The sequence below is a fragment of the Homo sapiens genome, chromosome 2 (assembly GCF_000001405.40).
Source record: "Homo sapiens chromosome 2, GRCh38.p14 Primary Assembly".
NCBI lineage: Eukaryota > Metazoa > Chordata > Mammalia > Primates > Hominidae > Homo > Homo sapiens.
The window spans coordinates 164,702,873-164,718,180 of NC_000002.12; the positions used below are offsets into that span (position 1 = coordinate 164,702,873).

At 36.3% G+C, this 15,308-nt stretch overlaps 1 protein-coding gene across 10 annotated transcripts in view, besides 2 other annotated features; it reads right to left on the reverse strand.

Annotated features, from left to right (window-relative positions):
* Positions 1–15,308, reverse strand: part of COBLL1 (cordon-bleu WH2 repeat protein like 1) — a 184,146-nt gene that overhangs the window by 44,942 nt on the left and 123,896 nt on the right. For 8 of the 10 annotated variants that reach the window (NM_001365671.1, NM_001365670.2, NM_001278460.2 and 5 more), the window contains 2 exons: positions 2,080–2,233; positions 1,572–1,646 (listed from right to left, as the gene is read on the reverse strand). In NM_001365671.1, coding sequence (NP_001352600.1) covers positions 1,572–1,646; positions 2,080–2,233 — 229 coding nt within the window. Of the gene's footprint in view, positions 1–231; positions 349–1,571; positions 1,647–2,079; positions 2,234–15,308 lie in introns of all 10 variants that reach the window. The other 2 variants (NM_001278458.2, NM_014900.5) reach the window with 1 other exon arrangement.
* Positions 8,912–9,056: an enhancer, noted in NCBI's record as "145 bp enhancer 131/132 fragment used in the MPRA reporter construct; PK_construct_95". NCBI's record gives its function as "activates an SV40 promoter by MPRA in HepG2 cells {active_cell/tissue: HepG2}" and the evidence as "EXISTENCE:reporter gene assay evidence [ECO:0000049][PMID:23512712]".
* Positions 8,977–8,990: a transcriptional cis regulatory region, noted in NCBI's record as "HNF1 motif; enhancer activity is reduced when this motif is scrambled". NCBI's record gives its function as "necessary for full MPRA enhancer 131/132 activity {active_cell/tissue: HepG2}" and the evidence as "EXISTENCE:site-directed mutagenesis evidence [ECO:0005528][PMID:23512712]".

The window sequence follows — 15,308 nt, forward strand, 5'->3', positions numbered from 1 at the left end:
CTTCGGAACCACTGATTTTATTTAACTAATCCACTCTGTTGTATTCATCTGTATGGTTGGGAAAAACAACAAACTCTACACCCAGATAAAATTTCAAGTGAAAAAGGGGAAACTTCTCTTTCTTTATAAAATATGTTTACACAAGGTTTCAATAGCTCATCAAATTTACAGTCGATGATATCTTAACCTGCCTGACACAAAGCACCAGCCAGGAAAGGCCTGACCACCTACATGTCAATGATGTTATGGCTGCCTCAGGTGTCCCAGGGCACTCAAAGACAGAGGTTTCCTCCATCAGTTTGGGCGCAGTGCACTGCTCCTGACTGGAAAGCCCAGGGTGAAAGGTTTCTGCCAAAGAAGTAGAATCTGTAGAAATGGCACTTAGACAACAGAGTTAAGGCAAGCAGAGACCAAGAAGCATTTTGGAAGAAATCAGATTTGTTAGCTCACAATTATCCATGCATTAAATAAGAAGAGGTAAAAGGAAAAAAACAAATGAAGAAAAACAGATATGAAGCAAAGTTTGAATAGCATGCACTCCTTTTTATAATATTTCAGTGACTTCTAATTTCACTCAACAGTTGTAATTGTTATTATTCAATACATTTCCTTTGTGGAAAAAAATGGTGCCATTTATATTATTCTGAGTAAAAGCTGAGAAAAATCATTACTAGTTATCTGAGAGTAAGATTTAAAATCACAGAGGAGTGAAGAATTCTTACATATATATGCTAAAATTCCAAATTCTTAAATACCACTTAAAGATGAAAGATTCAAGAGTGTTCCTCCTAAATGTTTCCTGTATTTGGAATATAAATTATAAAAATCAGGCGAGTCATATTAAGCATTTTTTATACTTACAGAATTATCCCCATGATAAAGTCCTAGCATAATCATATTCTATTTTTGGTATGATATTACTAGTCTATCACATTCATTGATGTCTAATAGTAACTCTAAAGATTAAAACATTTTTATCATACTTCTTAGAAAAGCTACTAAGTAGCTATTATTAAAAACACTGGAAAAGTATTACTATAAATTATGTAACTTGTAATGGAATTTTGTTTGGAAAGAATCCTAGAGGAGAGCCATATACTGCAACAGAAAACATTTTCATGGTAACAGATTTTTACCATTAGAGTAGGGTAACTTGTATGTTGAGTTCATACCTAGAACAGTTGCATCAAGAAATTGTGCTTACACTTTCCTGTAAGTTTTCTTCTGCACACACCAAGGTACATTCCTAATTACGGTGTGTCATTACACTTGGGAAGGAGGTTAATAAATGTTAACCTGATACTGCATAAAGGAAAGCAGGAGACCACATAGAAAAAGTACTCAAGGACAATTCCAGAACTGAAATTTTGATCTCTGCCAGCTTCATACTCTAATTGGGTTGAGGGGCAGAGGGGTGGGGGCAAGAATTTATTTCATAATAAAAATTTGGGAAATGAGGCCAAAGAATCTGTATCTCTTTCATGTACAAAGCATCGCAAATGGACTCATTTCTCAATTATCATGGACGTCCTTTTTCAGTAATTACACCATGTAGAATAAGGGTGTCATACCTGGGCTGGATAGCTCCTCAGGAGAGTTTGCTTCTGAAGCACTGTCTGGAGGAACTCCATCTACTGGCTGTAAGGCTAAAGGAAAGAAGCAACACAACTTATAAAGTCATATTCACAAATAAAACAATTCCTTAACAGTTTAACTTAGTTATATAGTTCAGAAAGCAGTAAGCCTTGCTAGAAGCCATTTTACTATCTAGCTGTAAAACACTAAAATCCACTTAGACTCCCTTTTCTACATACAGCTAATCCTGAAATGGCAGCATCTTTCTGAATAAATTCACAGATTATGACATGCTCATCTTAGGATAATGGAGCTGTATAATTTTGACACTTTATTTGGTGATGTTTCAGATTTTTAAACGGCAGCAAAGTGAGACTAATCAAGATGTATTTAAAAAGCCTAAGTATTATTTAAAAAGCATAACTTACATACCCATATCTTTCCTACTGTCCATATTAAACAAAACACAATACAAATGTAATGTTAATGAAACAACCACATTACCAGTCACACGACTATTTTCATCACTTTGATGCGGGGGTATTTTGGAGGGTGGGGAAGGTGCTTTTCGCTTTGTCCTTCTCAAAGATGAATTCCCTGCAGACATGCTGCTGAGCTGCAGTGAACCTGCCCTCACTCTTCCTGCTTCACAGGGACTCTGGAAAACAAAATGACCAAATAAAATCCTACATTTAGAAATCAGTAGCAAACTTTAGGAAGACACTGAACTTTACGTCAAGCACAGGATATATCCAAATGGAACATAACAGTCATTCCTTAAAAACGTTTATGAAGCATCTGCCACACACAGAAGCTGGGCTATGGGATAGATATGTAAAGAAAAATAAAATACGGCCTTTCTCAAGAAACTTGGGCTAGAATGGGAAACTGCCACACAAACAACTAACTGTAATGTAGAGGACTCATAAGTAACAGAGTTAAAACCTAACTTTTAAAGAAAAATCTGGAGACATTAAAAGGAAGGGATGAAAAAGGGAACATTATTTGTATAGTAGTATTTGGCTTGATTAAATCTACCTCTTTACAGCTGCAGTGTTTCAGTGAGGAACACTGCAAAAATCTATATGTCTACCTGAGGCCAGGTCCTTCAAGGTCACCTACTGCAAAGAGCTACTGCTCACACTCCTAGCCCGTGACTGTCAGCAGACCCTAAGACATCCTCCTTCAGCAGGGGTCAGTGCCTCCTGACCAAATGCCATGTCATCTTTGCTCTTTGCCTTTACCAAGAATGAATGAATGAATGAATGAACGAATAAATAACTATTTAAAAGAGTTGTTCAGGTGGCTCACACCTGTAATTCCAAAGTGTGGCTCACACACTTTGGAAGGCCAAGGTGGGCAGACCACCTGAGGTAAAGAGTTCGAGACCAGCCTGGCCAACGTAGTGAAAGCCCGTCTCTACTAAAAATAAAAAAATTAGCCAGGCGTGGTGGCATGTGCCTGTAATCCCAGCTACTCGGGAGGCTAAGGCAGGAGAATCGCTTGAATCCCAGAGGCGGAGGTGGCAGTGAGCCAAGATTGCGCCATTGCACTCGAGCCTGGGCGACAAGAGTGAAACTCCATCTTGAAAAAATGAATAAATAAACAAAAGAGTTGTTTGCAGTTTGTGTCTCCAATTTCTCTTATCCCACTTGAATCCTTTCAATGATACTTTTCCCAGCCTTTGATCCATTAAAAGGATTCCTATCAAAGTCACCAAAGACCTTGACTATGAAGAAATCTGTGGCCACTTCTCAGAACTCACTTATGAGACCTATTAGCAACATTAAACAAAGCTGACCACCCTCCTAAAATACATTATTTTTCTTCCAGGAGACCACATTTCTTACTCTCTATAGATCCGTACTCTCTGGCTACTCAGTTTTCTGTGTCTGCTTCTCTTCATCTCCTGATCAACACTGGTGTGACACAGAGTGTGGTCTGTGAACACATTCCATTTAGTATCTCTGCTCCCTCTCCAGAGGATCTCATCTATTCTCTTTATGTATTATTTGCATGCTGATGAATTCCAAATCCACGTCTCTATCTTGGACCTCTGTTCTGATCTCCCCTTAATGTCTGAAGCCTCTTCAATTTAGCATGTCTAAAACTGAGATCATGATGATTCCTCTTTATCCCTCTGCCACATCCTATTCTCACAGCCTTCCCTGTCTTAGTAAAGAACAAGTCATCCTTCCATTCACCCTCATCTTGTATCTGTCACATCTCACACTGAGTCAACCCTTTTTTCCCTTCCCTTAGAAGACATCCAACATCCAGCTTAACTGCTACTATGTTGTCTGACTCATCATTAGGAAGTACCTAATTAGACTCCATCTCCACATTGTTTCCCTATAGTCCTTCAACATAGCAGCAAAAAGAATCTGCTATCTTTAAATAAGATCAGAAAAAAGGATCCTATTAAAATGTAAGCCAGATTAGGTAACTTTGGTCAAAACCCACTAATAGTTCCCTTTATAAGTCCATTAACAACCCGGTGTCTAGCTTTCTCTGGCCTCTCCTTTGGTAATGGAATGGCTCACTCCACTCCAGCCACACTGGCCTCTTTGCTGCTCTTCAAATGTGCCGGCAGAGTTCCTCCATCACAGGGTGGTCACCCTTACTGCTCCCTGTGCCTGGAATGCTTTTTCTTCTGATAACTCGGTGTCCCTTCATTTTCTTCAGGCCATTTCTCAAAAGTCATTTTTTTTTTTGAAACAGAGTCTCACTCTCCACCTAGGTTGGAGTGCAGTGGGTGACTTGGCTCACTGCAGCCTCCACCTTCCAGGTTCAAGTGATTCTCATGCCTCAGCCTCCTGAGTAGCTGGGATTTCAGGCATGCAATATGACACCTGGCTAATTTTTGTATTTTTAGTAGAGATGGGGTTTCACCATGTTGGCTAGGCTGCTCTCGAACTCCTGACCTCAAGTGATCTGCCTGCCTTGGCCTCCCAAAGTGATGGGATTACAGGCATGAGCTACCATACCCGGTCAAATGTCATCTTTTCAATGAACTCCTCCCTGACTCCCAACATTTCTTATCCCTGCTTCCTAGATTTATTTCTATGATGAGCATTTAATTGCTCTCTAACATACTATACAGTTGACTTATTTGCCTTGTACATTGTCTGCTCCCACTGGGGTTGACCACAGAGGCAGAGATTTTTTTCCCCTACTATTTCACTCACTGCTGTATGTCCAGAACCATGTCTGGCTCACAGAGGGTTCTAAGTAAATACTCCTTGAATGAATAAAAAAATGAATGATATGCTGCCATCTTCATTTGTAAATAAAAGACCTTGACATACTCAGACCAGGGGCACGTGTAAAGCTTGGGGCATTCTAGTCTTACAAGACAACGTAGGTACCTCTAAGGGAAGTGAACTAATTCATAAGATATTTTTCAGTCTTTATGCCTTGCTACACACCAAGAAAAATTTGGCAAATTTACTATTTTGTAATTTTTTAATATACCTGCCAGAGAGAAAGGGAAGCCTGCCCCCAAAGAAAAGGGTTTGAGTTAGCCATGCTCTTTGCCAACTGTGTTAGGTACTAAAGAGGAAGGCAGGTCACTTCAACAGGGAGAGAAACATTTAGGTCTACAGTGGCAGGAGCTTCACTGAACAAACCTCTCATAAACCCACTAACTGTGCCTCATAACAGGGGGGTGCGACAAGGTGGCACCAGGGAGATTTTACCAACAGTTGAAATGTTAAACTTCTCTCCTACTAGTTGGTAAAGAGCTGCCTCCAACCCCATCCCATTACTCTGATTCCTCCTCCAAAATTCTTCAGATTTCTCTATAATCCAGCAAGAAATGAGTTAAAGCCTGCCACCCAAACTCAGATTCTGTCTCAGAGTCACTGAAGTCAATTCTGACTAAATATTATGATCATCCTGACTGGGGTAGGCATGGGGGTGGATTCTCAATGGATGTTTGAAATAATTCAAAACAAGGGCCCGCTGCAACAAAAAGGTAAGAAAGAAGTGCACCAAGGAGTTGCCAGTATTTAAATATTGTTTTGAATAGAATATAAAGGTTAAATAGAAATCTTTCTACTGATAATGCCCTTCTGTTCTAAAACTTTCCCTTGATATCTTAAGAGTAACACATTTAGGAAACATCAGAAAAAAGGCCAAAAGTTCTCCCAAAAGAACATGGCCCTTCACTTTAAAAAAATAATTGTCTACAAATCAAAAGCAGTAGAAGATGTGATTTTATTTCTCGGATTTACTTCTGTAAAGCCCTATTAAAGCCATGCTCCACTCCTATGGCAGATCTAGTTTACCAGTAAGAATGCAACAGGTGATCAATAAGTGGTAGCTTAAAGCATGAAGCAACAAGAGCATTTGATTTTCCTCCCTAGTTCCATGTTTCCCTTGTTTCAACTGATTGCTTTCATGAGGTGTATAATAAAAATGTGTTCACCTTTAGGTCACATTCCTAATCTTTGTCACTTACTGGTCTTTTCCATGATAAAAGCAGCCATGACATGAATTTCTCAATGAGAGTATCTACTTGGGAGTTAGAGCTCTTATATTTTGGTTATAATAAAGCAGACAGTATAGAAATAAAAATGGAGGAATATACACAGACTCACAAATTTTTATGAGCCTATTCATAACTAAAGACAGAATAACCATAGACTCATATATTTCATTATTCAGGCTAGAGGTCTTAAAATAAGCTAGCTTTTTGTAAAACAGAGTATTTATATTTTTATGGATAAAGAATTTAAAATTTGTCAAAACAGACATATTTCAGTTTTATAAATGCTAAATTTTTTTCAACAGCATTTATGAAGATAACTGGGGGAAATGCATATTGAAAACACAAAGCCATGGACATCAGGGGAAGCATTTATTTTACAACCCTATTCTGTGACATTCACCACCCTTACCATGTTGTGCATGGGTATCATGATGGTAAATGGATATGCATTACTAAAGCTGAAATTTGAATTAAAGAGGCTAAGAAAAAAGACATTGGCTGGGTGCCGTGGCTCACGCCTGTAATCCCAGCACTTTGGGAAGCCAAGATAGGTAGAATATCTGAGGACAGGAATTTGAGACCAGCCTGACTAACATGGTGAAACCCCGTCTCTACTAAAAATACAGAAATTAGCCGGGTATGGTGGTGTGTGCCTGTAATCCCAGCTACTTGGGAGGCTGAGGCAGAAGAATCGCTTGAACCCGGGAAGTGGAGGTGCAGTAAGCCAAGATTGCGCCACTGCACTCCAGCCTAGGCAACAAGAGTGAAACTCCATCTCAAAATAAATAAATAAATAAATAAAAATAAAAAGACATTAGAGGAAAGTGAACATGATTGTCACTAATTGATACGACGTACAATTATGTGGTCTGTCATAACTGGAACTTACGCTGTTAATAATGGTTAAAACTTATTAAAGTTGAGGACAAAATGTAAATTTAACAACTGGTATAAGTCGTGCAAAGGCAAGAGTTTTGAAGAAATAAGAATAGTGAGTTTAGATAATAACCAACAGATTAATGAAGGACAGAAATGTAAATTTTCTTTTGAAATATGAGTAATATTCATATTAACATTCAAGGAAATAGCTTAATATATATATTTTTTGTTGTCATAAGACACAGAGGCAAGAGGTTTTATGAAGACTCTTGGAAAATAATTTCAATTATTTAAGAAATTGCCAAGGGAAGTTAAGATAATAAAAATCAAATAAAAATCAAATTGTGTGTTAACTAAAACATCACTCTTAACACAAAATGGAAGAACAACTGGGACTTGAGAAAGAGATGTTCTACATCTACTAAAAAACCTTCTCTTGGGGAGGCGCGGTAAAGTCTGCAGGAAAAGAAGGGACATTTAAGTTAGGAGACTTCGATATTTCTAAATAGACTGTAGCCAGGAAAGCACATGTATACACTGGGATTTACAGAGAATATACATATCTAACATGCAAGACTGGAGAGGCTCCAAACCCAGGAATGACTAATGCTAAAAGCAGCCTTACTAAACTGCCACAGCATTTAAGTAATATTTAAGTAATACACATCATGAATTTAGAATGCTGAAAAATTAAATTAAATTAAATTAAAAGGCTGGGAAGACCACTGATCCCTAAGCAGCAGCATTCTTTTTTTTTTTTTTTGGAGACGGAGTTTCGCTCTGTTGCCCAGGCTGGAGTACAGTGGTGCGATCTCAGCTCACTGCAACCTCCGCCTCCCGGGTTCAAGCAGTTCTCTGACTCAGCCTCCCGAGTAGCTGGGATTACAGGCAGCCACCACCATGCCTGGCTAATTTTTTGTATTTTTAGTAGAGATGGGGTTTCACCATCTTGGCCAGGCTGATCTTGAACTCCTGACCTTGTGATCCACCTGCCTCGGCCTCCCAAAGTGCTGAGATTATACGCGTGAGCCACTGTGCCCGGCCAGCAGCAGCATTCTTAAGCTGTATTTTCTTCTGTGCACTTTAGGAGTATGCTCCAAAGAGTCTCCCAATAGTTCTGCTCTTGCATTCATCAGAGCTAAACTACCCACTATTTCTGAATCTGAATTTGTCTAGTTGGAGAGAGGCTTACAGAGAGTTTGCAAGGTAGAAGGCGACCCACTACAATGATTCCCAAAGAAATGGGTTTTGGAGTCAATACAAGCGGTTGAACCAGGAAACATGCCATTTATTGTCTCTGTGACCTTCGGCCTCCTCATTCATGAAAAGGAAAAGTACTAGCACCTATGTCAAAAGGGGCTGGGATACTTAAATGAAATATTATATGTAAAATACATAGCACAGTGCCTAGCATACAATACATGCTTCATAACCATCAGCTGATATTATTACATGCAATTTGTCTGTTTTAAAGTACATGAAAGTGTTCTGCAAATAAAATAAGAATTATAGTTATACAGATGTTGGAGTAAAAAGCATAGGTAAAAGGAGGTATTTAAGATTGTACTCTCTGGTGACTGTGTTGGTAAGAGTCCTATTGGAATCAGTCTCAGTAATAATTAACCTTAAAACTCAACAGTGCCCAATGTTCAGGAACCAATGCTTAGTCTACTGTATAAACATTCATTGTGGGTCTAAAAATCTCCACCTTTGAGTCAACTCAGGTCTCTTCAACATACTTTAAAGGACTTTAATAAAAGTTAAATATTTAACACTACTTTGTTGAATCAGTGATGAATTCATGGATATGTATTATAGTACATACATTTGAAATGTCTCATAAGCAAATTTAATGTGAAAAATTAAAGAACCATTTATAACTGTCTTCAGCTTTTACTACCAACAAACATTTACTTTGTTCAAATTATGACTACATTTTAAAAAGTGGTAGAGATTAAAATTTATTAAGTCTAAAGGCTTTACAAAATGAGAAAACACAGAGGTTTCTACTTACTAGGGGAAACTGCTTTGGTTAATCATTAGAGATGTTCAATTATTTACTTTAGTTAGAGTCACTGATAAGTCTGCTTGCCATTAATGAAAACTGCACTTCTAACAGGAATGCACATCACTGAATTTTATGGTCTGTAAAAAGGAAAATACCACAAGGAGAAACAGAATCTACTAATGAAAGTGGCAAGGTCAGGTTGAAAACCATGCCAGATTGTTAATCCCCCAGAATTCACACCCAGATCAGAATTTCCTGATTCAAAATCCAACTAAATTTAGCTGAAGAAAATAGAATCAAACGGCATTCAAGAGATTTACTGAATACTTGCTCTGTACTAGTTATTAGATCACTTATTAATCATAGTTGAATTATAAAAAGTGGGTCATTGAAATTGACGTATCCTGGATTAAAGAGTTAAATGAAAGAATACATATGGAAAATAAAAACACTCAGGGGATAGAAACATAGAGGCTCAACTTCAATAATGTTAAATGTTTCTAATAGAATCTGTTGGTTCTGTTTATGATTTTCACAGGTGGAAAAGGGTGGGGTTAGTGGAGAGAATGTAAACAATCCCTTGAAATTGTCTTAAAACTCATGTTTTGTTTTTCAAGGGACAGACTCACATTATTCTTCTCCAACCTGGACATTCACAATAAACACTATTAAATAGTATAAAATATCTTATAAATTGACATTAATTTATGGTATTTGCTATTGTGTCCCAATAACTGAACTTTTCATATATCTGAGGGTCAAGTTTTAACTCTTAACTCTTGATGGAAGAATGTTAAAAAATTTTTACAACTTAGACAAGCAAGTCAATTTTAAAGTGTCATTATTATATATATTATTATTACACTATAATAAATGTAATTTAGAAGAATGAGGTCTTGTATTGAATTTGCAAAATAAGCTGTGAGTTTTTATCACAATTAAATCAGTTTTATGGTTGATGTGATAAAATTAGCTCAATCTCACAAGACACAAATAATGTATATAATGATGAGGAAAAAAATCACTAAATCCCAAATAAAAGTCGCCTCATAGAAGTTTTGGTGTCCACTGTTATATGTGTATCTTTTTACACCTGTATATACATGATGCACATAGATACACACACACACGTGCATGCAAATTTTGGCTTGTATTGTATGAAAGCATACTTGCCAGTTTCTTTGTTATATTATTGTGATTTGTAAAAATAAAATGTTATCTTTTGGTGGGGTGGGGGAAGTTTATTTCTGATGTCCTGTATCTCCCTGTGCTACATCCTTTTCCTCTTTGGATGGCACTTCCTCCACACTCCTGAAAATCTAGGGCTTATGCATTCTATTTTCTTATTCTCTATATAAACCTGTTTTAAGATTCTTCACTGATGGCATAGAAAATCTTAGCCTGCCTAGGTTTTGTAGATTAAGAAAAGTCATATAACATCAGAGTGAAGGGGTATAAGGAATAGAGGTGGCATGTCAGATCCCAGACAACTATAATAACGAGAGAAGAAATAGGTCAGCAGTACCAGGGCCTGGAGCTCTTACATCTACACTAGGCCAGCTATCACTATGTGGACAATTTTAATGCTGCTCCTACCAATCTGCTGAAATAAATATTATGAGAGGAAGCAATGAGGTTACAGCTAGGTTCACTTATATGTGATCTAAATACCACCACCAACAGTAACTTGTACCTTTTTGGTTAATAAAATTAAACCCATTCAGGGGATTCTGAGTGGCCAAGCTTGCCACTAGATTTCTCTTAAAGTCATCTACTTTAAAACTCATTATTAGTCAATGGTAACATGGTTACCATGGTTAACAAACTCATTAACCTAAGCATGTCGTCATCAAATATCAAGTCTTTTACCTCTTTTTAGTAATGCAATACCTATGCAATTGTGTTAACTTTTGTGTTACAGTCAGGAGTTTGGGAAGAAAGATGTCAGTCAATGTTTTATTTTGTTATTGTACTTTAAGTTTCTGAAATCCTCAGAGGAGTAATGCCAGGATTAGACACCGTCATCTCGTTAACGTTGATCAAACCAAAACAAGCACGTTCATCTGTTAGAGGCCAATTTTAAAAAATAGCAAAATAGCATAATTTTGTAATACTAGAGTTGGAAGAGACTTTGGGAAATTTAATTACACAATCTTATTCTACAGAGGAGAAAACTAAGTCATAGAGAAGTTCAGCAAAGGTGAAGGAAAAAAAATGACAACGGCAAAGAAGAAGATAATAGACCTATTAGTAGAATTCAGGAGTCTCTCTCTCAGGCCAGGTCAGGACTTCTTCTTTCCAGCCCTTGTCTAGGCACAATAGAAAGAAACACACACACACACACACACACACACATTAAAAAATCCCATGTTATTCCCCTGTAAGTTTTTTCCATTTGTCTTCCTGAGGCAATCCGTGCTTTCATCAACCCTATGATACTCTGATAAAGTATATAAACTAAGTCTTACTCATGATAATCCTCTGCATACAGCATTTAGTAAAAGCCCAATGATGAGGGTCTAGCTCAATGGTACATCTTGGATGAAAAAAAAAAAAAAAAAAACCAGGATGAACCACCAGAAAGCAGAGCTCAGGATCAAGTTTAAAAGACAGGGAATGGTGGTAACCATGATTCCCTGTGATCACAGTGATGAGGATAGAGGTGTTTTTAGCCACAGGGTAGGAGAATGTGAATAATCTAGAAGTTAACCGAGTTTAGGACCTATACCAGAGTGAAGCTACAGTCAATCAAACAAACTGGGGCCAACTCAGTTCATCCAGAAAGGCAATTAAGGCTGGGAGCAGGCTTATCCCAGGGACACCTTAAGGTTATCACTGTGGCTCCAGAAAAGAGGCCTGCTTCTATCTGCCCTGGCCTCTGTTAACACATGCTGGTTACCAGAGAAATGCAAATCTTCCCATGAGGTCACAAACATCACAGAGATAGAGAGGCTAAGTAAACTTCATACTGGTAAAGTAAGCCTCCTAACAGTAATTATTTTCAATACTATTTTATTAACTCAGCATGTTATTTTAGAGAGGTACGACTTTTTACATACTAATAGACAAGAATGAGAAATCCATATTAATTCCACAAATGACCTACTGCTCTTTGAATAATATATTTTTCCTTAAAGTTTAACAACTTATTAATTCCTCATAATTCATAGTTCTTTTAGGCTAAAACTGTCAGAAACCTAAAATGTAATGGCCCAGAGGGTTGTCATAAGGATTAAATAAGTAATGTTCTTAGAGCCTTGTCTGAAACATTAGTAAGCATTATATAAGCATTCACCATTGCTTTTGTTATTGTGATTATGACCCTTTGAAAATCTGATGAAAACTACAGTGGCAAAGTATGTATTATATCTAGGAAAGCCTTAAAAAGGGGAGCAGATTAAATATTATACTGTGTTGGTACATTTCTCTACTGAATGAAACCAGTCATATTTTTGGAAGTATAGACAGCTGTATTCTGTACAGCAAACTGCAAATGCCATGGTAACCACTGTTCCTAGGCAATTGTAGAATTATGCATGGTGGTCCACTTTCTATATAATAAATATAAGAGGAAAATGGAGGGGAAAATAAAATATAACAACCTGTGTAAAAATCTAAAAAGGGGGATGTTTCTTAAACATTGCAAATACATACTCTATTACAACAGAGGGTACAACCTTACATACTCTATGTAAAATAACTAGGATTAAAATTAAGTAAAATAGCAAAATATGTACCTGTACATTTCATAAGTATATGACAATACATCATCTTATCTGCTTATAAACCATGATATATATTAGAATATAAAATTGCATAAAAGATGAATAATGTAAAACATTTAAAAAATTAAGTCAGTTATTTTAAAACTAACACTCTAGGTATTAAATTTCACTTGCATAATACTAGATGGCAAAGAGTTTCCGTTTCTCAATAGTTGAGTGTTTGTCTGAAGCAGGATGCAAAATGAGATAAAATAAAATGCCCAGTGAAGATCATTTCTTACAGTGTTTCCAGCCACAATGTAATATCCCAGAGAAAATGATGTGCCATCCCCGTAGCCAGGAGAAAAATTGATTGCTGTTGTATATCCATCATTCCAAGCAGCAGTCACACCAAATGTGCCAAATGAAAAATTCTCCAAAAGGTTCTGTGAATTCTATGGGTCAAGATTACCAAATACTTTTCCCTGACTCTTCTTCCACTTATTCAAATGTAAAATCAGCTTATGAGGCTAATTTGTCAATAAGACCAGAACATCCTTTGGCCATTGATTTTATTAAATGTGCTCTTCATAAACTCTTGGTCAGCAGATACGGTGCAGAAACTAGATTTCTGAACTTAGATTTATCTGAGAATTCTAAGTCACTTTCAATTTAAGTCAATGTAATCGAATTTCTGACTTCCCATTTCACAAATGACAATCTTATCGTAAATAACTGTGTACATTTTATATAAGAATATATGTTATATGGTTCATATAAATAAAGCATGATCTATTATATGTCTTGTTGCACAAATGGCATTTCAAATCATCAGGAAAAATCATATTTAAAAAATGCTCAAAAACTACCAAGAAATACTGCCAGAAAATTTCTAATGGGAAAGTTTTCTTTTCAAATGAACATTTTCATAGAAGATGATATATTCACCTTCATAGGAAAAATGACATGAGACTTGAAATAATGTGAAAGAGGGTACATAGAAATTTAGGGATTTGAAAGGATACTGCAGCAATAATAGTAAAATATGTGTTCTTCAAAATGTATTCTTTAGATGGAAAAAATAATTTTAGATGCAGAAATATTCTAAGAAAGCTTGGGTTAAATCATTTGCTAACTTGGATCTTTGCTATCTCGGCTAACTTTGAATAGTCTTTGGAAACTGCACAGTTAGTTTGTCAAAATTAGCTCAGCAAATCAACAGCCTTTTATGTGAGCATTTTCAGTATAAGCTCTAAAAAAACACCATCCATATACTTTAATTTGCTAATATTGAGAAATATCTTAGAAGAATGAGGCAAATTATTAAATATAGACAGCCAAAAAATATAAAATAAATGTGGTTGACAAAATTTTTCCTAAGCTACAGATTTACTGACATCAGTAAACCTTGACTAAGGCAAACATAGTTTCTGTGGCTCTTAAAAGAACAAGAAAATGCATTAAAAACTCAAAATGAATAAAATTGCTAATTATAAATCCCTTTGTCATGTGTTACTGACATTTATCTCTCTAGCTTTATTTACCCGCATGAATAAGCATTTTCTACTTCTCATGCAATGTAACTATTTCCAATATTTTCTTTCTGCTTTATTAAAATGTGCTTTGGAGAAAAAAAATGGAAAAATTAGAATACTGTACTTCTGTCAAACAGCGCACCCTTGTGGTTTATTTTGTATCCTGAACAATAAAAATTAAATAAAAGTGTCTAAAATTCACATACTTAGAACCAATTTGGTCATACATATTTTTCTTCCAAGTTATGTTTTCCTCAACATGCTATCATTTTCAATCACTAAAAATAGTGATATTTTACATTTTCAAATTGAAAACTAAATTGTTAAAATAGATACAAACGTTTATAGTGATAATGACCATCTTTGATTTTAAATTTAAAACAAGCAAGCAGTGAAATAAGTATGATTCACTTGTACGTTCATATGTTTTGCTGAATTTCCTGAATATTTGCATCTGGCTATATAAACCACATTTTTACTATTTTAAAATTCATTATTATTTTTTAAAGACACAGTCTCACCCTGTCACCCAGGCCGGAGTGCAGTGGTGAGATCACAGCTCATTGCAGCTTTGAATTCCTGTGCTCAAGTGATCCTCCCACCTCAGCCTCCTGAGTAGCTGGGACTGCAGGCACACACCAACATGCCTGGCTGATTTATTTTATTTTATTATTTTTTGTAGAGGCAGGGGTCTTACTTTGTGGCCCAGGTTGGTCTTGAACTCCCGGCTTTTAAGTGATCCTCCTACCTCGGCCTCCCAAAGTGCTGGGATTATAGGCATGAGCCATCAAGCCTGGGCTATAAACAATTTTAATTCAAGGATCAATTATATTTATATGCATTATGCAATGTACAGTATAGTTTAGTTGGACCTTAAGTTTTCAATATAACCTTATCTAAATTCTGGCTTTTCTATAAAAGCTTAAGAAATATATTGCTAAAAATTACATGGTCCAATTACCATAAAAGTAAATGTAAGCAATCTTTAAGTTAACCACGTACTTCTGAAAATTTACCAGATATATGAATGACATACTAAAATTTTACGATATAAGTGTGACACATTCTCATTGTATATACTATACCTGGCTATGAAAGCAGTGATTAATGTTTAC